Source organism: Homo sapiens, chromosome 14 (assembly GCF_000001405.40).
Source record: "Homo sapiens chromosome 14, GRCh38.p14 Primary Assembly".
Classification (NCBI taxonomy): domain Eukaryota; kingdom Metazoa; phylum Chordata; class Mammalia; order Primates; family Hominidae; genus Homo; species Homo sapiens.
In genome coordinates, this window is record NC_000014.9 from 98,790,407 (window position 1) to 98,815,114 (window position 24,708).

The window sequence follows — 24,708 nt, forward strand, 5'->3', positions numbered from 1 at the left end:
ACCCATCACGAGAATCTTCCATCTTTCTCTCACCTTTCAATTCATCTTCCACACAGCTATCAAAGAGTAGACCCTGAAACACCAATGACATCTTCTTGTGTCTCTTATTTCTTTGACCATGCTTGGCCAAAAAATGACATTTGTTGAGTTTGAGGGTGGAACATCCTGTCAGCTGAAAATTTGGAATTTTATAAAACTCCCATATATAATGCCCTTTTACATTCTTTAAAACAAAGATGTCAATGGCATCTATAAATGTTACATGGTATAATTTTATATGGTGTGAATTTTATTATCTTATTTTTATTTAAAGTTTCTATAAAATCTGTAGAGAAGCAAAGAACATGGAAAGTTAGGACGTGTATGTGTCAAGATGTGGGTATAAATGCATGATGGCCTCTCACTTTTATAGCACAGTATCATTGCCTCAATCCAATCCTGTACTGAGTATGCTATGTTGGCCGAAGTTTTTAACAGCCATGAAGAGAGAGGTTACTTGACTTCTTGATCATTGGAAAGTCCACTCAAGGTCTGGATATGGCAACACACCATCTTGATGTTGAGAACCACTGGTAATGAGATTGGCCTCCCAGAGAACTGCTGCTAGGGTGGAACCCTGGAAGCTACAGTCAGGTCCTGCAAGGAGCAGTTAGGAGAACTCCCTCTCCACCCATCCTCTTGTGTATTAATCTCCAACCTTCAGTAGGTTCACGGGTGTCTGCCCACGGTGTGGCAGGCTTAGGAGCTACAAAGCAGTCAGGTTCCCTCTCCCACCACTCTTTAATCATGAAGCCGTTTTTTCAAAGAGTGTTCTATAAATATTAGCTTTTTCATGATGCCCTGCAGGAAACATTCTCTAGACAATCAATTTTTTGCTGGTTTCTGGACTGGATACTGAGGATACAAGTGGAAACTTCTTAGAGAAGATGGGAACTCAAGGAACACCTTAGAGAGACAGAACCACACATAGGTAAGTTCAATATTAAGTGGCAAATGCTATGCACCAAATGCTACCAAGCTATGTACCACCAGAGGAGGTCAAGCTGAAAGTACCGTTTTAAGGTGGGGAAGTAGATATTTCTGGTGGGAGAAGGAGGAAAGCAAGTTTTTGAAAATGGTCAAATGTAACTTGAATTTAAGCACATTTTCTTAATAATGTCTTACTAGTTTCTATCACTGAAGCTTTTGGTCACCTATGGAAATGTTTCTAATGATGATGTGAAAATAATCACTCTAGATTCATTTTTTTATTAAAAAACTTTTTTAAATGTTTAAGCAAATACAAAAGACTAAAGGACTGTAGAGTCACAACACTCACCGTGCCTCCATGACAAAAGCAAAGCAGAGACTCTGCGGGCAGACACCTGTGAACCCACTGAATGCTGGAGATCAATACACAGAGGAGGGCTGGAGGGGCAGTTCTCCTAACCAGGTGGTAGGTTATCCCCTCAGCCGACACCAGATACAGCAAGAAAAGAAACTGGGTTAGGAGATGTACCATGAGGAAGTGAGAGAATGTGAAGATGAAGACAGTGTGTAATCACTCTCATTGTGTTATTTGCAATTGCTGAGTGAGTGAAAGGATGCTGTGGCCAGAGTTCAACTTTACAAAGTTTTTGAAGTTGGTTCTCTTCAGCCTAGCATAGAACATATTGATTGGAAATAGACCAAATTATTGAACCCATCAATAATAGCTATAAAAGTACAAAAAAAGCCCCCTTCTCATCCAGGCACACTTAACAGTTCCCGTTATACACTGGTTAGTGAATGGACACTGATAATAAGTGAGCCCAGGGAAAAGTACCCATGAGGTGCCGCTAAAATAGCCACAGAGATTAAACTCAAAGCAAAGGGCATGAGGAAAAAGAAATTACTAGGGTTTGCTGAAACTTCTACTGAATTAAAATTTTATTTTTAGACTTCACATATTGTCTATAGAGAAAAATAGGAGGAGGAATCAGGAAGTGAAAGTCACTTGATTTTGAATGCAAGCTCAGTGATTTATCATCCAGGCACCTGATCTTTCATATTCTCACTTTTCTCTTTTTCCTCTGGTAAAATGGGGTTAACAAACCTCACCTCAGCAATGTGGCCTATGTGTAGCCAGTGGTTCTTTGATTAAGATTCTAGAATTGTTTGCAAAATATAGAAGAGGTGGCAATGTCCTTCTGGAGATCCCATCCAAGAATATAAATTGTCTGGAGAAGTGTGGGCTGCAGGTTCTTGTTTGGATTTGAATTGAAATAAGCAAAGCATCAACCAAGCTCCTGGACCATCATAGGCATTCAAGCAGCTATAGTCAATATTATCATTGTTATGCTCAAATTCCTCCTGACAAAACTTATTTGGGCCACATATAAATATTGATCCTACGATCCCTTGGCTCTTAGCCTAAATTCTTAAGCTAAATTTGCATCTGTCTTACAATTAAAATCGGGAGATATAGAAGCCCTAGATTATCATCTCTCTTAATCTAAAAGTCACAGGAATTGTTCATTTGAAGATGGTTAAGAAAGTACATTTTTGCTTGATGCTCAACTCTTAAACCTACCAAAAATAATAACATTTTTAAAAAGGAATGAGAATAAGAGAGAAGATGACACAAGGGAAGCACCACCACAAACCGAAAGCTATGGGACACACCTGCCAAACAACATCTAGTTTAAAACCTAGATGGTGGAGGATACTAAGCAAAGAAAAACTCCACCAGCTTGGATCTCAAGCGGAGTACGTTGTCCCTAAAATGCCAACTTTTTGAGCAATGTAGCCAGTGTGTAGCCAATGTGTAGCCAATGGTTCTTTGATTAAGATTCTAGAATTGTTTGCAAAATATAGAAGAGGTGAGCAATGCCCTTCTGGAGATCTCATCCAAAAATATAAATTGTCTGAAGAAGTGTGGGCTGCAGGACTCATGGCCTCATTGTCTCTTAGCAGATAAATATTGTGGAGGTCAAAAGGATCCCAAGAGGGAGAGCAGGTGGGAATTCAAGATGGCAGCACAGAGAATCTGCAGCCTTACTCTTAGCCACAGCAGCATTTGAACATTAAAAACTGAGGCAACAACAAAAAAATGCCTTGTATCTCCCAGGATACAAGACATCCTAGGTATTGTGAAGAGGATGAAAGATTCACTTTGTCAGACTTGAGGCTTCCATCTGCCCCAGCTCACTTTTCCCCGTCCTTCTTCATACCATTTGTCCGTAGGTAGGCTGAAACAAATTTTGGACATAATACATGTTAATGATACTAAAAAAAAAAAACGAAAAGAAAAGAGATATAAAAAAGAGATAGGTAGGGGCAAGGTACTGTGGCTCACACCTGTAATATCAGCACTTTGGGAGGCCAAGCCAAGTGGATCGCTTAAGCCTAGGAGTACAAGACCAGCCTGGGAAAGATGGTGAAACCCTATATTTACAAAAAACAAAATTAGCTGGATACGGTGGCAAGTGCCTGTAGTCTGACCTACTCAGGCAGCTAAGGTGGGAGGATCACTTGAGACCAGGAAGTCAAGGCTGCAGTGAGCTGTGATTGTGCCACTGCACTCCAGCCTAGGTGACAGAGTGAGACCCTGTCTAAGAAAAAAAAGAGAGAGAGAGAGAGAGAGATGAACATATATATATATTTATATATCCATGTATATGAATATATCCATATATATTCATGTTGAATATCCATATCCATATCTATATATTTATATCTATGTAGATGACATAGATATAGATAGATATCAGGAGGAATTACCCATAAGGATAAAAAAATAGATCACAAAATAATTATACGTAGCTTTGAGGGGATTTTTCTCTATAGAATTGAACTCAAGGAAGTTATACAATGGTGCAAAGAAGAGGTTATCAGACATAAAAACAGCTGATAATCTGGAAAAGAAAGAAATGTAAAAGAAAATGATATTAGAGATGAAAATAGTTTTGGAAACAAGAAAAAAGATAAACACAATTCAGAACCAAAAAAACTTGGAGAGTAAACTTCAGGAAATGGCACAAAGTAAAATGAAAAGAAAAGCAACAAAAATGATTACATAGAGGATAATAACATATAAAAGAGCTAAACAAGAGCCAATAAATGTATAATTGGTGCTTCTGGAGGAAAAAAAATCAAACAAATTATCCATGGCATCTTAAAAAAATTCTGAAATAAACACTAAAATCTACAAAACAAAAAACATGTTATATTTCAGGAAAAAATAATAAAATCCCAGTACTATGACTGACCCTCAAAGAGAAACAAAACAAATCATGAAGATATCTAAACAAGAGAATCAAATTACCCAGAATGAACCTCAGCTATTCAATGTCAGAAGAGAGTTGACTGTTCCAAACAAAGTTTTGAGGGAAAACAATGTACTCCTAAATTGCATAGAGAGCAAGCTAGTCTTTAGCCATAAAAACAATAGAAGGTATCAAAGGATGGAGTACTTGAGGACTCTAGCAGCCCTGACTCATTCTTTTAAAATCTGCTGGACTCTAAACCCAGTTAACAATGCTGGGAATAAAAAAACAAACTTGGCTGGGTGCAGTGGCTCACGCCTGTAATCCCAGCACTTTGGGAGTCGGGGCGGGCAGATCACTTGGGGTCAGGAGTTCAAGACCAGCCTGGCCAATATGGTGAAACCCCATCTCTACTAAAAATATAAAAATTAGTTGGGTGTGGTAGCATTCGCCTGTAATCCCAGCTATTCAGGATGCTGAGGCAGGAGAATGGCTTGAACCCAGGAGGCGGAGGCTACAGTGAGCCCAGATCGCACCGCTGCACTCCAGCCTAGGTGACAGAGTGAGACTCCATCTCAAAAAAATTAAAATAAAAAAACAAGCTCAGGAATAGAGAAGCTATGTTAAGAAGACTAATAAAAGGCATTGAGTTCATTCAAACGTAAAGGTGTCATTAAACAATTGTAAAAAGTATAATTAACAAACTCATAAATGTAAAAAACATATAAACTGTAAAAATGACACAAAATTCAAATGTAAAATTAATAATGTAACTGACAAAAATCAGGGACTAGAGGAAGGCATAAAAGAAAGCACAGACATGCTAATTTTTTCATCTTTTATAGAAAAAATCAGTAGGTACTCTTTAAAGTTGAGAGAGTCTTCTAAAAATTCTTCAAGTTTTTCCATAATGAATCTCATTTTTAGATGAAGAAACATGTGTCTATAAATCAAGTTGTTCAGTTTCTTGCTGCTGTTTTTGTAGTGAAGCAAAAAATATGCATTTGATTTTATAAAAACCAGAAATATAATTTGTACTAGCAATATGTATTCTTTCTAGCTATATTTTAACTTGTTTCCTATTATATACACAAAAGTGTCCAACTGATGATTATCAAATGTTAGATAATTGTTACTTCTGAGTGATTTGAAATGACAATTTTAAGTTTCTTTTCACTTAACCGCTTGCATTTTTTCATAATTATCAGAGTTTTCAACAAAAGAAAAATTGTTTATCCCTACCACCAAATGCCATCCCCATTTTCTTATAATTTCTTGGACACGAGTTGCATGACAACCACCTAAGTGGTCATCTAATGTTCTACTTGTCAGTTGAAAACAATACTCTCACATCATTCTTTACTGAGCCATGTGACCAGCCAGGGGCATCTGATCCCCAGAGCTCCCACCCTTGAGAGGAGAGGCTGATGAAGAGCCATCCTGGCCCAGAGGCCTCCATGCTCCTGCCGGGTCACCCTCCGCAGCACTGTCCAGTGTCTTTCATCCAGCACCCCCTGCCACGTCCTGCAGGGCCCGCAAGATACACACACTGCAGCCTCCCTGCTCCTACAACCCCTTCGGCATCGGTGCCTCCTCCTGAATGCTCCAAGCTTGTGCTCCATTTAGATCCTTTGCTTTTTCTTTGGCTGGAGTGCGGTTTCCCCTGATCTCCACAACATCTCATCACCTAGACATCAGCTCACCGACTCAGTAATGCCTGATTACCTATTCCATCCCACCCTTGAAAGTTTTAGGTCCTTCTTAGCACACATTAGTGCCTGAAATCATCTCATTCATTGATCCCTTTACTTGTTTATTGTATCTTCCCTCCAACCACCCCCACCCAACACCCAAATAATTCAGGAGAGGAGGGGGGCACCTCTTGCTTGTTCACTCCTGTATACCCAGTGCCTGAACTGCTGGTGGCATATAGTAAGCACACAATAAATACCTGTGGAACCAGGGCTGGCTTCATGGGCACATGATCTGTGCCATTGCACATGGCCCCAAGTCCAGAATGGCCCTGCACCTAATTAATGCTCTGCTGTTGCTGTCTTGAAATTTTTAACAATTTTGAAGGAAAGGTTCTATATTTTTATTTGTCCCATAAATTTTGTAGTAGGTTCTATGTGAATGAATGAATGAATGAATGCTACCTAAGTGATCTTGGGCAGGTCACTCCAGACTTGAAGCCTGTTTTCTGAAAAGTAGGGACAATAACCCCTCCAGTGCCTGATTCACAGAGCCTTATAGGATCACCACAGAGGACGTAAGGAAAGCTCGCCCAAGACATGCACCTCCCAGACACATAGTTCATCTACCCAACTAACCACGCTCAACCTACACTTCTGCCGCTTTAAGCAGATTTTTTTTTATCTTCAAAGTGCTTTTCCTTATACTGTTTTCCATTCGAAATGCCAACCTGTTCCCTGTCTGGCTGGCTGCTCATGTCTATCAGGACAAAGAGAGGGTATTTCCTGCTCTAGAAAGCCTTCCCAACCCAAGAGGACTAGTAGACCCTCCTCTAAACCCCCTCAAAATTCTTTGCTTGTGTTTTTCACAGTGCCATTACATTCTTAGGCAGGGCTGTCATTTATTCATTTCACAAACCTCTCTTGCTTTTCTACTCAATACCTGGTCCTTTGATTGACACCTGAGAGCCGGAGAAGCCTGAGGCTGAACCTGGCAGGACCGACAAATATCCCATCTTTTCTGCCATTGTTATGAGCCCATAGGAGGTGCTCCATAATCATTTGTGGAATGATTGATTGACTCAAAGGCAGGATTGGGACTTGGGAGACCTTGTGTCTAACCAAGACTTTGCCACAAATTTGCAGGCTGACCTTGAAAAAGTCAATGGTCCTCTCATGTTCATAGTTTCTCCTTCTGCAAAATAGGGAGAGGGAAGGGCCAGACTAGAAAACCTGTTTCTTGTCTTCTTTTTGTCTGAACCCTAGAGTCTATAAATGTGGATCAAATGGCAATAGGAGCAGCATCGTGAATAATATCTCCTCCAGTCATCACAAAAACCTTGTAAAATAGAGAATTATTCCAGTTTTTCAGAGGACAGATGCATGGCTTAGAGAATTTAAATACATTTACTCGCTGCTGCACAACATATAAATGACCACTCTAAGATCAGAATTTACCTACCTGCCTCCAAAACCCATGTGTCAAGCCACTCCACAAGGCTTCTAATCCAATCCTATCCAATCCAATCTAATCTTCATTCCTCAGGCCCCTGGCTGGTCTCAAAACAAAAAGCACATATGAGTTAAGAATAGAAAATATAAGACTGCATACTGTAAATAGTTTTTCCCCGATCACCATCTAGTTAGCCAGGATTTGAAAGCAGGGGATTCCCCTCTTCTGGCTGGCATGAAGCATCATCAAATCCATGAGCGTCAATCTCCAGGGCCTTGCTGTAAATCACTCCCACAACATAGAAAGCCTGGTACTCACATCCATATGGGTCAAATAGAAGAGGTGATCTTGCCCCAAGAAGCTGATTCCCAAGTTCCCTGTCCGTTGATCCAAGGCATCCACTCAGGTGCTTGTGTTGGTGACAAAAGAGCTCCCCAGAGGGCTGTCAGGAAGCTGATCATGTGATAGATCCTCTGTGTAGCTCTGGCCCTTTCACCAGCCTCACCCTTTGACAGTTATTACTGCTGCAATAAATTCTTCAGTAAAACAAACAGGCACGCTGTAAATTTATTAGTCTGGGCACTCTGTGTTACTTAACGTAATGGCCAGTCTTAAACAGGTAACTACTGCAGTAAATAAACCAGTTTATTTAGGCACTGTCAGCCCTAAGTGTTCACGGGGGCCTGGAGAAATGGCATTGGCCTTTATAAGCATGATATATGCCTACATAAATTACACTTGCCCACTCAGATATTTGATGGTAACACACCACCTGGGAAGAGTGTGACAGCTCAAAACATCTCTGTAAACTTCAAAAAGTCTATTTACAGGGGACATGGTACTTTATATGGAACTGTATATATAAGTAGAATTTGTATATATGGTCTCAGTATAAAATAAACCAGTGCCCTGCATTTGCATATTATGTGAATGCATGCAAAATTGACTAAGGTTTTCTGCTGAGCTGTTTGCAGAGGGCTAAGTGGAGAACAGAAATAAGAGAAGAAAGAAAGGAACTCATATTTATTGAACCAGACCAATGTCTAGGCATCTCCAGACACCAAGTTCAAGCAAATAATAAATTCTGGGCCTCTGTGCCAGGTTCTGTGCTAGGCTTTCCATAAAAATATTTGTTGGGTAGTAGATCCTTTCTTAGGACTGCCATAAGAAAAGTCATCACAAACTGGGTGATGACTTAAGACAGCAGAGATTGCCGGGCATGGTGGCTGACACCTGTAATCCCAGCACTTTGGAAGGCCTAGGTGCGTGGATCACGAGGTCAGGAGCTCGGGACCAGCCTGGCCAAGATGGTGAAATGTCTCTGCTAAAAATACAAAAAATAGACGGGCGTGGTGGCAGGTGCCTGTAATCCCAGCTATTTGGGAGGCTAAGGCAGAGAATTGCTTGAATCCGGGAGGCAGAGGTTGCAGTGAGCCGAAATCATGCCACTGCACTCCAGCCTGGGTGACAGAGTGAGGCTCCATCTCAAAAAAAAAAAAAAAAAAAAAAGACAGAGATTTATTCTGTCACAGTTCTAGAGGCCAGAACTCCGAAATCAAGGTGTAGAGTTCTTTCTGCCTCTCCCTGGTTGTTTCGGTGGCCTTGCATCCTGTGTCTCCTGGGCTTATATCTATATTACTCTAAGCTCTGCCTCTGTCTCCACATGACCTCCATCTCTATGTATGGTAAGGGTCCCCCAAAACCCACCTCAAAACAGTCTGAGCTTCTGAGAAGGACATGAATTTGGGGGGACGCTATTCAACCCAGGACAGATACATGTGTCAAAGTGCTTTGAAACGTATTATCTAATTTTACCCCTGCAACACCATGGTGGGTAGGAATTCTCATACCCATTGCACAGATGAGGACACTGAGACTGGGAGAGATTGAATAACTTCTTGAACATTTCAGAGCCAGTAGTTGATGGAGGCAGTGTTCCAACTCAGTTCTGATTCCAGAATCCACAGGGCCCCAAAAGGCAATTCTCTGTACAGTGCTTGATCCACATGAAGTTTCCTTTATTACCCTCTCTTTAAAAAGCAGTGTGTCTGTGTGTTTAATGGGGATAATTTCACTGAAAAACGTAGTTGGAATTGTTTAAAGGACAATTGCAAAAGTTAAAAGAATCAGCGCCAGGAGAAGAAGACAGTATATAACAGAACTAAAGCTTTCTCCAGGCCATATTTGGATTCAATCGCCTGTTACCCAGAGCCCTGAAAATAAATGTACTGATAAATAATTATTTCCTGCCCCACACATAACCAAATATGACTATGCCTGGCCTGGTGGCCAAGGAGACAACCCATTGTTCAAATGCCTGGCCCCACTCCCCTTGGCTGCAAAAAAATGTGGCTTCACTTTCCTGTGAATCCCAACTCAAAAAATAGAATGGCATATAGTCAGCAAATGCCTCACGTTGGCTCACCACTGCCCAGCCCTGGGATCAATTAGATAAACACAGAGCAAAGAGGCTTCCTCCGAATATGGTCAGGAAAACAGTCTCCTCTGGGTCTGGTGATTCTGGCACCTTCTGCTTGAGAAATGATGCACAGAGCCCTACAATTGGACAGCATCCCATTCACAGTCACCCTTCTCCATGGAGTGGCCATTGGAAGGTGCACTGTGACAGTCCACAGCATCTTGCCTTGGAGTAAATTCTAAGTGAGAGTCAGGACAGTGGGTGTCAACTAGTCCTACCCAGGGAGGCAAAGTGCAAGGATAACAGCAACAACAACAAAATGCATGGGATTTTTGGACCAAATCAGTCTAGGTTTCACACCTATTCTGCTGCACACTGGCCTTGAGATCTTGAACAAGTCACTTTATCTCCTTGGTGTCTACTTCTTTGTATAACATGAATGGTACCCACCTAACTATAGATCGAATAAGCTAACATTGTTAAAATACTTAGCCTAGGGGTGGACTTAAACTCTCTCATTAGATCCCTTTATCCCCTACTCAACAAACAGGGAAACGAAGGTGAAGGTTGATCATCTGAGGCTAGAGTCAAGGTTCTACCCCAGATCTCCATTACAGTCAAGGCTGTGCTGTCCAGAGTGGAAGCATCTTATCTCCCTAAAGGATGCTGCCTTAAAAAGGTATATTTTGGCCCCAGTATCTGTACTCTCAAGTGATCTTAATTCTAAACTCTGCAACTATCTGTGTGCATACCCCTCTGCCCCACTAGACCATAAGCTCCTCGAGAGCATAAACCACTTATTATCCATCTCGGTACACCAAGTGCCTGGCAGACAGCAAGCCAAGGTTTCTAATGAATCCTTATTGAGTGACTGAAGCAGATAGAAACTCTTCTCATGTCCCATACCACCTGCACTTCCCCCACCCCCCTCTACCACCACCAATGGCCAGGGCCATTCTGGGGCATGACTGCTTGTCTACATATCCTTCCTCAGAAGACTCTAAGAGCCACGGTGGCTGTGTCTAAGTTGCTGTCAGTCACATTTCTGCAATGGAATGGAATGCCTAGCACATAGTAGGTGCTTGAGAGCTAGTAGCTGAAAAGTGGTTGACAGCCATGTAACAGCGCACTGGAGGAAAGGAGGGGAGAGTGGATTTATTTATTTTTTTATTTTTATTTTTATTTATGTGAGTGCATAGTAGGTGTACCTATTTATGGGGTGCATGAGATGTTTTGATATGGGCATGCAATGAGTAATAATCCCATCAAGTAAAATGGGGTCTCCATCCCCTCAAGCATTTATCCTTTGTGTTACAAACAGTCCAATTACACTCTTTTAGTTATTTTTAAATGTACAATTAAATTACAATGGACTTTGGTCACCCTGTTGCTGCACTATCACCTACTAAGTCTTATTCACTCTTTCCACGTGAATTTAGTTTTATTGAACACCTAGCATGTGCCAGAGGCTCTACCTGGAGCCTCTTCATGGTTGATCATTACAGGCACACCTAGGCACACGCACACAGCAGACACCATCCCCGTTTCTACAGATGAATAAGATTGAGTTTGGAGACTTGAGCCAACCTGTTCAAGACCACACAGCTAGTGGCTGTCAGAGTTCAAATGAAGCTCACGTCTGACTGCAAAACCCTTGCAATGCCACACTGTTTCTTCGAAATCCTGCAGAAATTTTTGCTTCCTTTGCCATTTTTCCTAGAGCCAGCTGGGAGGTTCTCACTGTCTGACCCCCTGCCATCGCTGGTGGGAGGAACCATGGGGGCCAGCCTGGCTGAACAATGGATTGTGCTGGCTGCAGGAACAAGGGAAGGGCTAGGTCTTCCTACCAATATGCCTTTAGCATCCCAGGTCCTTATTTTGCACAAGTCTGGACCCCTTGGACTTCAGGGCCAGAGAACTGTGGGCGTAGGGACATGGGACTCCCCGCCCTCCCAGAGCCCTGCAGGGAGATAGACCCATGTGCCAGCGTGAGTTGAGCCTCGTGCATTGGTGCATGTCCCTGTGGCCGGCTGCCACGAGCCGGGGGATGAAATGTTACTTGTGGTGGCCATGGTTTCTACAGGCATGTGGGAGTCCCCTTCACAGCATGAAGTCCAGCCTCCACGTCTGCGCCTGCTCACCAAGAAGCCCCAGTGCAGGGGCAGGGGGACTGCTGGCAGCATTGGAGAGTCATGAAGATAAATTGACCAGAGGCATCCACACATATTTAGGGAGGAGGAGGACCAGCAGCCACAGTATTAAATAGAGACTGAGCATGGGTTTGGCCCTCAGCCAGGCTCCTTACTCTGCCCACCCCATTCAAGCCCCAAGGCAATGCCTTGATAGCCATTTTGCAGATGAGAAAACTGAGGACCATCAGATGCTTAGAGAAGAAAATGATGGAGGGGAATGTTTCTATTCCACCGTCAGTATTAACATTGGGAGCAAGAAGCTTAAACCTGAATCCAGAGATTTCTTGACCAGATCAAGAATAATCTGAGAGTAAACCTGTAGAAAGGGGAGCTATCCTGTCCTCTCGTTTCCTTGGTGTGAAACCCAACAGGGTACAAGTGTTCACCAATATGCACTGCTTGCTGGAGTTCCCTTCTTTATCCACTTTGAAGAGAACTGGCAAACTTCTCATAGTGCTATGACTTCACATAGTGCTGTGACTTCACGCAGTTTCTTCAGGGGCTAGGTGGTATGCTCTAAAAGTTACATGTATTTGTTCACCTGCAGATGTTTGTCCCAGGTTTTCAGAATCTCGTCGGTCATTATACAAAGCACATGGCCATCCATGGGCTCCCATCTTTGTGAAGTAGAACCACACCCATCTAATGGTGAGAAAAAGAGGCTTAGAGAGCCAGGAACACTGCCCAGGGCTGAAGAGCAGCAAAGAGCAGACTCTGTTTCCTCCTCCAAATTGCTTTGCCCAGAAGGGTCTGGATTCTGTGGTCCAGGGAAGCTCCTCAGAGAATCTCTTGTTTGTTCCCACCCATGAGGTCTATGGTCTCCAATCCTCCCCTTGGGTCTGCTTCCAAGTTCCTCTACAGACATGACCTGAGCAAACTGAACTTCCCCCTTCCTCCTCCTTCTCCTCCTCCTTCTCATCTCCAGCATGCTGGACACATCAGCCTGACATGTCTTTCCAATTAGGCCAGTCCTGAGCTGCAGGGAAACAGGAAACCTCAGACCCATCCAGACTCAGGAAACCAGTCAGAGACAGTGGCGGCCCTGGCCGTGGCGTCAGCCGGGAGACACAGCCCAACACAGGCAGCCTCTGCCTGCCTCCTCCTAGACACTGCCCACCCCTCCTGCTGCAGGCCAAGGGCCTGGCCCGAGGAATGGAGATGGGTGAACATGCCTTTAGATCTCCCAGAAATGACCCCCAGCAAGAGTGGGCTGAGAGGCTGATCCTAGATGGAAATCTAAGAAGCTAAACAGCCCTGTGTTATGAGCACTGGCTTTGGGGTCATGTGGACATCAGTTTGTACCCAGCTCCACCACTTTGTAGCTGTGAAGCCTTGAGTGGACTTCTCCTTCTCTCCTGATGATTCCTGCAAGGTGGCATGATCCCCATTTTGAAGGACCATGGTAGAGATACACACAATGAGATCATGTTTGAACAGCCCAGCCCAGCACCTGGCAAGTGGTAAGTGCTTATTTGTCCCAAAGAATGGGCAAGCTCTTCACATAAACCAACCCCTTGGCTCCTCACAGCTGCTCTGGGAGGAGGGTATTTGTGGTTTCTTTTTACAGATAAAACTGAATCCAGATCTATGTGAATTGCAGTGGAAGAAGCATGGAATTCAAAATCAGGTGGATATGGATGGAAATCCCAGCCGTGTCATTTGCTAGTTCAGGGCTGATAAATGTGACTGTTTAGACCATACCCACCGCTGTGCTTGAGCACATCATCTCGCATTCCTAAGTCACACCCTTCGGAGGGTGTGCTGGCCTGTGTTCTACAATGGAGGCATTTGAGGCCCAGAGAGTTTGCCTAATAAGCCCAAGCTCCTACCCAGGAGTGGAGGAGCTGACATTTGACTTGGCCGTCTGTGGCTTGGAGGCCATCTCTGCAGCTCCCCAAGCTTCATCTTCTCCTGTGTAACGTGTCTAAAAATCTCTCTGTGAAGGCTCTGGCAAAGAATTCACATACCTGGTACTCCAGGAAATTTACACAGAACAAAACTGAAATGCTCAAGCAACTGGGGTCTGCGTGGGAGTGGCGCTGAATCAGCAGTGTCCATGACAGAACAGATGGCTCAACCCCTCGAAGCCTCTTGCAACCCATTTTGCCTCTGAAGGGCCTTCAGATTTGCCCTGTGCAGATCCACACATCTGCAGACCCCAGGTCAGAACTCAAAGGCCAGCTGACAGTATGGCAGTTCCTCAGAAAGTTAAACACGAAATTATCATGTGAGCCAGCAATTTCTCTTCTGGGAATATACCCAGAAGAATCGGAAGCAGGAACTGGAATGCAGATTTGTACACCCGTGTCCATAGCAGCATTGTTCACACTAAACAAAAGGCAGAAGCAACCCATATGTCCATTCATAGTCAAATGGATAAACAAAATGTGGTATACATACAATGGAATATTATGCAGCCTTAAAAAGGAAGGAAATTGTAACACATGCTACAACACAGGCACTCCTTGACACCATTGTGCTGAGTGAAGGAAGCCAGTCATGAAAGGACAAATTCTGCACAATTCTACTTATAGGAGGCCCCTAGAGTAGTCAGATTCATAGAGATGGGAAGTACAATGGTGGGTACCAGGGGCTGGTGAGAGGGGAAATGAGGGGTTGTTCAGTGGGGACAGAGTTTCTGCTTTGGATGATAAAAAAATTCTTGGAAGTAGATAGTGATAGTGGTTGTACAATATTCTGAATTGTACGTTTAAACATGGTTAAAATGATGAGTTTCATGTTACGAGTATTTTATCACAATTAAAAAAAAAAAAAGAAAAGGCCAGGCGTAGTGGCTCAGCCTTGTAATTCCAGCACTTTGGGAGGCTGAGACAGGCAGATCACGAGGTCAAGAGTTCGGAACCAGTCTGGCCAACGTGGTGAAACCCTGTCTCTACTAAAAATACAAAAATTAGCCATGCATGCTGGCAGGCACCTGTAATCCCAACTACTCAGGAGGCTGAGGCAGGAGAATCACTTGAACCTGGGAGGCGGAGGTTGCAGTGAGCCAAGATTGTGCTACTCCACTCCAGCTTGAGTGACAGAGCAACACTCCGTCTTGGTAAAAAAAAGAAAAAAGAAAAAAGTCAGGTGAATGAATTTACCAGGGATTCTCCTCCCAAGAGTTCACATCTGCACCTGCATGACTTGGTGCCTTGATGGTGTGATTGGCAGCTCAGCACATCCTGGTGTGGCCCCCGTGGAAGAGCTCCCTGCACAAAGGGGCCAACAGAAGAGAGAGGGCTTCTCTGCTGGGGACCCTCCAGGAAAGCCCCACATGCTGCCCTGGCCTGGCCCCCAGGAACCCGCCCCCTCAGCGACCCTCAGCGTCCTGTCTTTCCACAAGACCTGTCCCTGCAGATAGGATGGGGAGGCCCCTGGAGAGTTAGGGTGCAAGGAGGTGGAGCTGTGTTTGGTGGGAGAAAAGAACTTTGGAATGAAGGTAGACAGGTTGGTTCAGATTTTCTCGGAAGGTGCGGGGAAGGGTTAATGGGCAAAAGAAAGATCAATGTTTCTCCCTGAAATTTCAACAGTCATAGATTTTAATGCAATGAAGCTGTGGAGTGTAAGCTGGGAATCTCTGATGAAAACGAATACAGCAAGACCAATGCCTTCCACATCGACTGCACCTACCTGGAGTGCCGGCCCTCTTGCAGAAGGCTCCAGTACCCACTTACTCACAGAAAGAATGGGAGGGCTGAGTGTTGGGCCCCCTCCAGTTCTTTTACTTTAACTAACTTTTTTTTTTATTTAGGAAAAAAAATCTACTAAAATAAAGCAAAATAAGAAGCTACAGGTATTAAACCTGATGTGTTTAAACCCCAATGAATAACAGACTTCCAAGTCAAGAATAGTGCTAAGAGCATATGGTTATGACATAACCCTCTCCCTGCACCCCACCTTTGCTTGTAGGTGGCCATGTGCAAACTGTGTCTGCACACACACACACACACACACAGCATTAGTTCTTTCATTCAGCTGGACTCTGGCTTCATTTCATATTGTCATAAAATGCATTTAATAAAATTTAGGTCTTTGGTATTTGATTTAGTAAGTGTGTGTGTGTGTGTGTGTGTGTGTGTGCACTTGGTGTGTGCAGCTACCTTGCCAGTACATGGGCAGAGCTTTACATTTATAGATGCAAACCTTCCCCACAGCTGGAAGGAACCAGTGCTCTCTAATCTGGAATACATTTCCAGAGGGAAACTGAGCCTCAGAGTTCATTAACTTGTCCAAGGTCATTTAAGGAGCTTTCCTTCCTCCTCATCTACTTGACCTTGACTCTGCTCTCTGGCTTCGGTTTCAAGAGCAACTTGAACCTGAAGACTGGGCCCAGTGAGCTGCCCCAGAGCCAGACAGCCTTTTCAATATTTATCTAAGATGCTACACTATTTTAGCAAATACAGTTTTAAACAGCAATTGTACCTCTCAGATTCTATCTTCTAGAAATAAGTCGGCACCTCAATATGATATTTGTGACAAAGCAAAGAGTTGTTTTTACTCTACATTCCATTCATACTTGTTTCACAGACATCCACTAATTTTTGATTCATAATATTTCCTCCTCTGTTCTTAACCAGAGTCCTGCTCCAGGTCTTCCACACCCTATCATCAAGGTGTAATTTTTCTGCAGTCATTTTTTTTAGAAAAAATCAATAAATTGTTTGTGATTCCTCTAACTGAGACCACATGGCTTTAGTGTAGAAATTCAACATTTACGTTAAGCAGTAAATCTATTCTGTCAGCCACTATGATGTGGGAGTTGTTATGAAAAGATAATGATATTTTTCCAGGCGCACATACACGTACACACAGCAGTTAAAACTGGCTTCCATAGAGAAGATGCCCGGTGTGTTTCACTGGCTCTTTCTAGCACCCAGCAGGTCACCGCGTGGACATCCACAGACGTTCGGTGGTGTTCACTTATCCCAGCTCGCTTCTCCAGACCTGACATTCCTTCCTGTTTTGGGTATGAGTTGATCTGGATCTGGAAGCTTATTGAGTGGCCATTGATGAAGCGGGAAGAGGACTGAACTAGGAACCAGGGGACCCAGGTTCTAGGCCACAACTTGCAGTAACAATCATCAGTGTGACCCCTTGTTCGGGGGCACCTGGTAGGTGGCAACTGTCTGTATATTCCTGAGAGCGCCAACAGCCCCTGTTTATAGGGGAGGAGCCTGAGCTTACAGGAGGTCCCCAAGGTTACCCAGCCAGATGATATTGGTGCCAGCCTGCTCCAATGTCCATGCCTTCCCACAAAAGATCCCATGGCCCTTGGGATCCGTTGGCCTTTGGAACCTCTTAGCTTCTTGGATATTCTGTGTCTTCATTTGTAAAATGGGAGGGTTGAAAAAAAAGATTTTAAAAGTGTTTTCTGGCTCATAACTATGACATGCTTGTTCAGCTCACAGCATCATCACTTGAAATGGTCACGTTGCCATCACTCTTCACCTCAATGCTTTTTCGTAAGCAGATCTAGAAAGCTCACAGGAGCATCCCAAGAATGCCCCCCAATTATTCCCCTCCCCATATCCACAACCTTTGCACTATGAGCACAACACCTTCCATCAAGGGACAATGAATCTACTTCCCACACCTTGACTCTGGGCTGGCCGTGTGGTCACAGTGGAAGGAACACTGTGCCCATTCTCAGAGAAGGCCTTGAGAGGCCCTGCACACTTCTGCTTTGCAAAAAAAGCTGCCTGGTTACCATGAAACAAGCCCAGGCCAGCCTGTTAGAGAAAATCAAGGCCACACAGAAACGTTGCCGCAGCTGTGGACATCTCCTCTGGTTCCCCATCGCTATGTAACAAACCACCCCAAATTCTACGGCTTAAACCATGGTGCCTCAAAATTCTGATCAAAGGAGATCTTTTAGAGCCTTGTCATATGGCCCCAAGTATTTGTTATTCTCTTTCCTGGTTCCTCATATCTCTCTCGTGTCTGCAGACAAATGACAGCCAGGGCGGAAGTCATCTGAAGGCTCAGCTAGGTTGGACATCCAAGACAGCTTCCTCCCTACAAGTCTGGTGCCTCACCAGGGTGGCTAAGGCAGTCTGGGGTTGGCCGGGCACCTCTCTTCACTTCTCACTTTCTTCTCTCTTCTCTTTTCTCTCCCCTTCTCCTTTCCTCCCTGATCCCCATCCTCTGTCCCTCCCTTCTTCCCTGTCTCTCTCCCTCCCTCTTCCTCTCCAAAGAACAAGGATTGTACCTCCCTCGCTTCCATCTGCCCCCACCTTAACCCAGCGTCTGGCACCTGGAGGCATGTCATGTGTCTCCCTGGCCGTCTGCCACTGCATTCCTCCAAGGTTGGGTTTTCTCCTTGGGACTTAGTCTCAGTCTGAGAGTTACCACCCCAGCGGTGCCTCTTCTGGCCTGTGGAGTGAGTCAGAAAATCTCCAAGTAGGAGATCTTTCAGGGGACAGAGGGCATGATTCTAGCTCCAGAAGCCCCATCTTCAGCAAACCGAAGAGCTCCCTCAATGGTCCTCGAGTCCCACAACCATCCCAGGAGGCCTCTTCCTACTGTCCTCCTGGAGGTCTAGACAGCTGCTGAAATGCATCACCCAAGCAGAATGCAACCCTCAGGACATAACTGATTTGAGTCAGGCACACTGACACCAGCACCTCCCTCATTCTAAGAATCATTCTTCCGTTCATGTGGCCAAAACCTGCATTACCCTTCTTGAAAACCACGCTGGTAACATGAGATTTTGTAAACGCCAGTGCTTCCCAGAGCCAAGACTTTCAGGGTCCCAAGGGCAAATGCTTATTATGCTATTTCTTTCCCTTCCTCAATTAAGGAAATTGTTTATTTGTTTGTTTTGCAAGTCCTCACATCTGGAACTTGTCTCCACTCCTGTTAAAGGGAAGATAGCCCTATTTTACAAAATAAGCAGAAGACTTGGAGTCACAGATCCAGGCACGAGTCCAGGTTCCAACCTTCCTCACTGTGTAAGGGGCCGGGAGCACCTTATTGCTAACTCCTATTTCCTAGTCCAGAAAGTCGGGGCAGCTGTGCCTGCTCTCTTCTCATCAGGAGCACCAAAGCATTTCAGGTGCCCAGCACAGCGTCTGACCTAGAGTGCTCTGAATAAATGGAAGATGTTAGAATTAACAACAGTATTAACAATCATGAAAATGATAACAATTATATGATGATATATTCCATGGTGTCTCAAAGTTCTGATCAAAGAAGATCTTTTAGATCCTTGTCATATGGTCCAGGTATTTTCAATTCAGCTTCTTGTCCTCCGCAAACTTGTAACACTGTCAACATTTTCAACTGACTTATTAAGAGCACCTTTGAATCAGACAGGGATGATAAAGCCTTCGGGATGCTGTTGCATCTCCTAACTAGTATTTGTCATGGGCAGTTTTTGAAATAGTTTTTTCATCTCCCTAATTTTACTATCACTCTGTCCATATTTCTCCATCATGGCTGCATAATTAAAAATCAAAGTAAGATATTTAGCTCTTAAATTTCTTTAAGGCTGTCACTTTATTTTCCTTCTATCCCTGGAGCATCCTTCACCTCCGTACCGGCTCCCCCACAGGCAACTTCAAATGAATGTAATCTTCCCGTTACCTCCCCCTCCCGAAATCGCAACTCGACACCCCCTGCTTGGCCTGCCCTCTTTGTTGGAATATGTTCAGTTCCTATTGTCTGGTAGATAAGGAATTTTTAAAAGTTGCTTTGTTAATAAAACGCTTCAGTTTAAAAAGTTTGCTCAGCAGCGTGTGTCTCTTAATATGTGTCAACTTCTGTTTGGATCAATTGACGTGGGATGCTATATTAATTATTCATTTTTGCAGAATGGAAATTAATTATTGTGCATGAAATTCTAAACACATATGGCAACAGTGCCGGCTGGACTGGCCCCCCTGCCAGCATTTCAGAGATTCAGATTCAGAGGTAATATGTTGTTTTGCAAAGCCAAGACCTCCTAAGGGTTCCAAGATAGAAGAATTGAAAAACTGACATGTTTCTGTACATGGTCCAACTCCTGCGCCTCCTTGAATGCACCCCTGACTTCCCTGCTATCTCTTCCCAAATCTGTGCTGATGAGGGGAACTATTCGAGTCTATCACAATAGCTGCAACAACCTAAAACCTTCAGAGTCATTATCTTTGCCTCCAAATCTGTCTTCCTGCAGCAGGTGGTACCATTAACCACTTCTCCCTGAATCCTTCCAAGTGAATCTTCCTGGAGGGGATGACTGGGTCCGGGGTGTTCCCTTTACAATGGGTCCTACCACTCTTATTTTGTTCATCATGTTGCAATGGAGATGTCTGTGTGTGCGACTATCACAGCTACCATTTGTTGAGTCCTCTGTGGGTAGGAATTGTGCCTCGTTCCTTCTCATATACTCTCATGCCCTCTGAAGATAGGGAGTTTATTAAACTGAATTGAACCTATTCATTCCATGGGGGGGAAAAGGCTCACAGAAGTGCCTATCCTTTTCAAGGAAAATGAAGAAGGAAGACAATTCCTGGTAGAAGAGGAGGCAGGGTGCACGTTTTAAAGCCAAGAGAAGTTACTGAAAATTTTGGATATACAGGAAATGTGCATCTAGACCTTTTGGCATGGAAGAGAAGAAATATTTCAGAGCAAGCAAACAGACACTGCGTAATTTCTCAGCCCCTGTTATCCCATCCTCTTTCTTATTGTGTTACCACCTAGCACAGTGCTGGGCAGGAAGCAGCAGCTTCACAAATATTTGCTGAATTGATCAAGACATGAAAGAATGAATACATGAAGTTAGGATTGTTCTGGTTGCAAATGCCAAAAAAAAAAAAAAAAAAAAAAAAGCCCAATCCTAAATAGGCTGAAAAGACACATTGTGGTATTTTCAAATACTCAAATTCCAAAGTCAAAGATAGGAAGGCAAAGCAAAGTGAAGCCTTTGGCAGGTGTTTTGCATGAGGTAGCAGGTCATGCTATGAATCTGCAACGTTGCAGCTCAGCTTTGGATCTCAGAAGGTGACATTTCGTGTAATTTCCACACTTGAGTTCTGACCCTAAGCTCTGTGAACACACAGAGAGGGCCTAAACCTCTCTATTAACCACCATGTCCTCATCATGAGATAATGCCATGCCCATGCTGGTCATCTCCAAGATAACCCAGATGTTGCTCTCCTTCCTCAAACAACATGGTGCTCTCTCTCCACCTCTCCTCTTTCATGAGTCACCAGTTTGCCCTCCATCTCTCTTAGGAAATGGAATTGGGGAGTGCAAAAGAGTGGTTCTCAACAAAGTTTATGTCTATAAAGAGAAAATGTATGATAGAAATTAGAAAAGGGAAGAAGGCAATCATGAGAGCTCATTTGGTTGATTTAATATCAAAGTTGGATCCAGAGTTTCCTGGTGGTAATGGCAAAAAGGGAAATACAACATTTAACACCGCAAGTTGTCAGACTAGTAGAAACAACAGCCTCTCAATGTAGGGAGCAGTGGGGGCAAACATGTTCCAAACAATAAATCATGACAGATGTTGCTTATGTAGGGGCATTAGGTAATGAGCTAGACAATGTGACTTCAGCATAGTGTTTTTTAATAAATTCTTTTATTTTGGAAAAAACTTCAGATTTATGGAAAGTTTGCAAAGATAGTGAAGAGGGTTCTCATATACCTTCACCCAGTTTCTTCTGTTGTTAACATCTTGCAATGCTGCGATATGTTTGCCAGAAGTAAGAAACCAACAATGCCACATCACTATTTACCAAACATGCTTTATTTAAATTTCACCAGTTTTCCCATTAATATCATCTTACTAATCCAGGACACCACAATGCACTTAGTTATCATGTCTCCTCAGCGTCCCCTGATTTATTACAGTTTCTCAGCCTTTCCCTGTGTATAGTAGCTTAACATCCTTGAGGAGTACTGATCAGGCACCCTATAGGATGTCCCCTAGTCTGGGTTTGTGTGATTTCTCATGACTGGACTGGGGTGACAGTTTTTGGAAATCATACCACAGAGATAAAGTCCTTTCTGCTCACATCACATCAGGAAGTTTATGATATCCACCAAACTTGATTTTATTACAAAAACATAAACAGTTCTCATTTCATTTCTTACTTTGTTTTTGTTGTTGTTGTTGTTGTTTGTTGTTGTTGTTGTTGTTTGAGACGGAGTCTCGCTCTGTCGCCCAGGCTGGAGTGCAGTGGCGCGACCTCGGCTCACTTCAAGCTCCGCCTCCCAGGTTCATGCCATTCTCCTGCCTCAGCCTCCCAAGTAGCTGGGACTACAGGCACCTGCCACCGCACCTGGCTAATTTTTTGTATTTTTAGTGGAGACGGGATTTCACCGTGTTAGCCAGGATGGTCTCGATCTCCTGACCTCGTGATCCGCCCACCTCCGCCTCCCAAAGTGCTGAGATTACATCTTACTTTGTTAAATGCGAATTTCTCTTAAAGCAACCCAAACTTATTTTTATTTCAATTCTGTTGTATTAGAAATATTCTGGTATTGACTATGATCAACCTTACAGTCAACTAATAATCTCTCAGACTTCTGCTTATTAAACCTATTAAATCACAACCTAACCCCTCTCTTCAATTTTTCTGCCCTTGTTTTTGTTCTTGGTGTGTTTGTTTTCAATTTAAAATATATATATATATATATATATATATATATATATATATATATATATATATATCTTTTCCATGTTTAATGAATTTTCATCTTGTTTATGTCACCATGATACTCGAATCTACTAGGTCTTCCTGGATTTTGTCAGCCAGCAACAGGGCTTTCTCTCCACGCCTGGTCTTCTTCCCAAATTATTCCCTGTTGTTGTTCACATTGGTGATAAAATTATTGAACAAGGCAGAGTTGAGGACTAAGTTCCAGGCTCAAAGATCTAGAACTTTGAACTTTGTTTTGGACCAACTAGAGGCCAGAGCCTGCCTTTTCATCCAACCACATCCTTTGCTTTGTCTGACTTCATTTCCCCCAGCTGCCAAAAATGGTATAATCCAGCCCAAGCCTTCAGTAATGAGGATTGGAGGCAGAACGGCATAATTGTCAACACATGCCTGAAATTACATTTCTTAGCATCAATGTCTCAAGTGAATTTGTATCTGAGTCTCTAGTTTTGAAGAATTCCTTGCATCCCACAAACATGTACGGAATAACCACCGTGGGTCAAATTTGTCTTCTTTTTTCTTCTCTTTAATTCATTGTTCAATTACAATCAGAAACTTCTTAAGCTGGCAAAGAGGGAGGGAACTTTCAGTCCCATATGGGTGGTTGAAGATGGACCCCGAAGTGGGGTCTGGGTGTAGCTCCAATGCTGTCTTCCTCTCACTGGAACCCTCTGGCAACTATCTTCTACTGACTTGGTGTTAGCTTCGCACATGTGTAAAACAAGGGGGCTCTAATTAAATGGTATCTAAAGTATTTTTCAGCTATGGCATGATAATTGGGAAGGATTCAGGGAGGGAGAGAAAGACAGAAAACACACAGTGTTAGCAGTAAGCTAGATCCTTCGTATGCTATCTGCTCCAAGTTGCCTTACGAGTTAGCAGCGGCCATCCCATTTTACAGAGGAAGAGACTGAGGCGCCGAGGCTGCATGGCACGCTGCAGTAGTTCTCCCAGCACGGACAGCATGGAGAAGTCCGAACATAGGTTTATGACTTCAAAGTTCATGGTACTCCTTCCACTGCACAAATATTTTTCTCTTTCTCATTTTAATGCTTTCCATCTTATTAAATTCCATTTAGAGGAAAATATACTCAGGCTTTAGATAACTGACAACCTGTTTGAAAAGTGGTTCTATTAGGAAATTACTGGAAAGGATGTCATATCCACCCTTCTGAAAATCTCAATGCCGGCTTATGACTTTCTACTTTAATAGGGCAGCATAGGGAACCTGGAAACCGGTGGGCTTTGACAGGTCTAGAACCATGAGTTTGCCCGGCTCAAAGATAGCGGCTTAAGCTGTGGTTAGCCCATTGACCTGATTCACAGGTCCTCACTGGGGAGAAGTGGAGTTAAGGCTTTGGCACTAAAGAAAGCAGTGATGTGACAGTCCAATTATTGAACCTGACAGACAGAAGAAGCAGACAGAGGGGGCTGAGCCTGGCACTGACCAGGGTGCACCCTGTCTTGTACACTGTCACTGGTCTACATGCTGAAGGACTTCCCAGACATGTTCCCAAAACGTGGTGGGTTTAAATTTGAAAACATTGAGGAGGGGAGGGAAGAGACAGGGGAAGGAATCTGTGAGATAGTGATACTATCGTCAGGGTGAATTTTTTTTTCCAAAAGCTCCTGGCAAACATAACTTTTTCAAAGGATGACACTGAATACACAGAAGATTAATAATAGCTGCGATCAATGTATTGAAGGGCTGCATTGGGAGACATTCCTTCTGCTTGCCACAAAAACTCCATGAAAAAGCATTGTTTTCCCCAATTTAAAGATGCAGAGACAGGCTGGGCGCCTTGGCTCACTCCTGTAATCTCAGCTCTTTGGGAGACTGAGGTGGGGCAGATCACTTGAGGTCAGGAGTTCGAGACCAGCCTGGCCAGCATGGTGAAACCCTGTCTCTACTAAAAATACAAAAATTAGCCGGGCGTGGTGGTGGGCACCTGTAATCCCAGATACTTGGGAGGCTGAGGCAGGAGAATCACTTGAACCTGGGAGGCGGAGGTTGCAATGAGTCAAGATTGTGCCACTGCATTCCAGCCTGGGCTACAGAGTAAGACTTCATCTCAAAA

At 43.6% G+C, this 24,708-nt stretch overlaps 1 long non-coding RNA gene across 1 annotated transcript; it reads right to left on the reverse strand.

Annotated features, from left to right (window-relative positions):
• Positions 1-1,879: 1,879 nt before the first annotated feature.
• Positions 1,880-7,856, reverse strand: LOC124903403 (uncharacterized). Its single transcript, XR_007064379.1, has 3 exons — positions 7,689-7,856; positions 7,380-7,471; positions 1,880-3,209 (listed from the first exon to the last, which is right to left on the reverse strand). It is a non-coding gene; the product is annotated as an uncharacterized LOC124903403 (long non-coding RNA).
• Between the last annotated feature and the right edge of the window lie 16,852 nt (positions 7,857-24,708).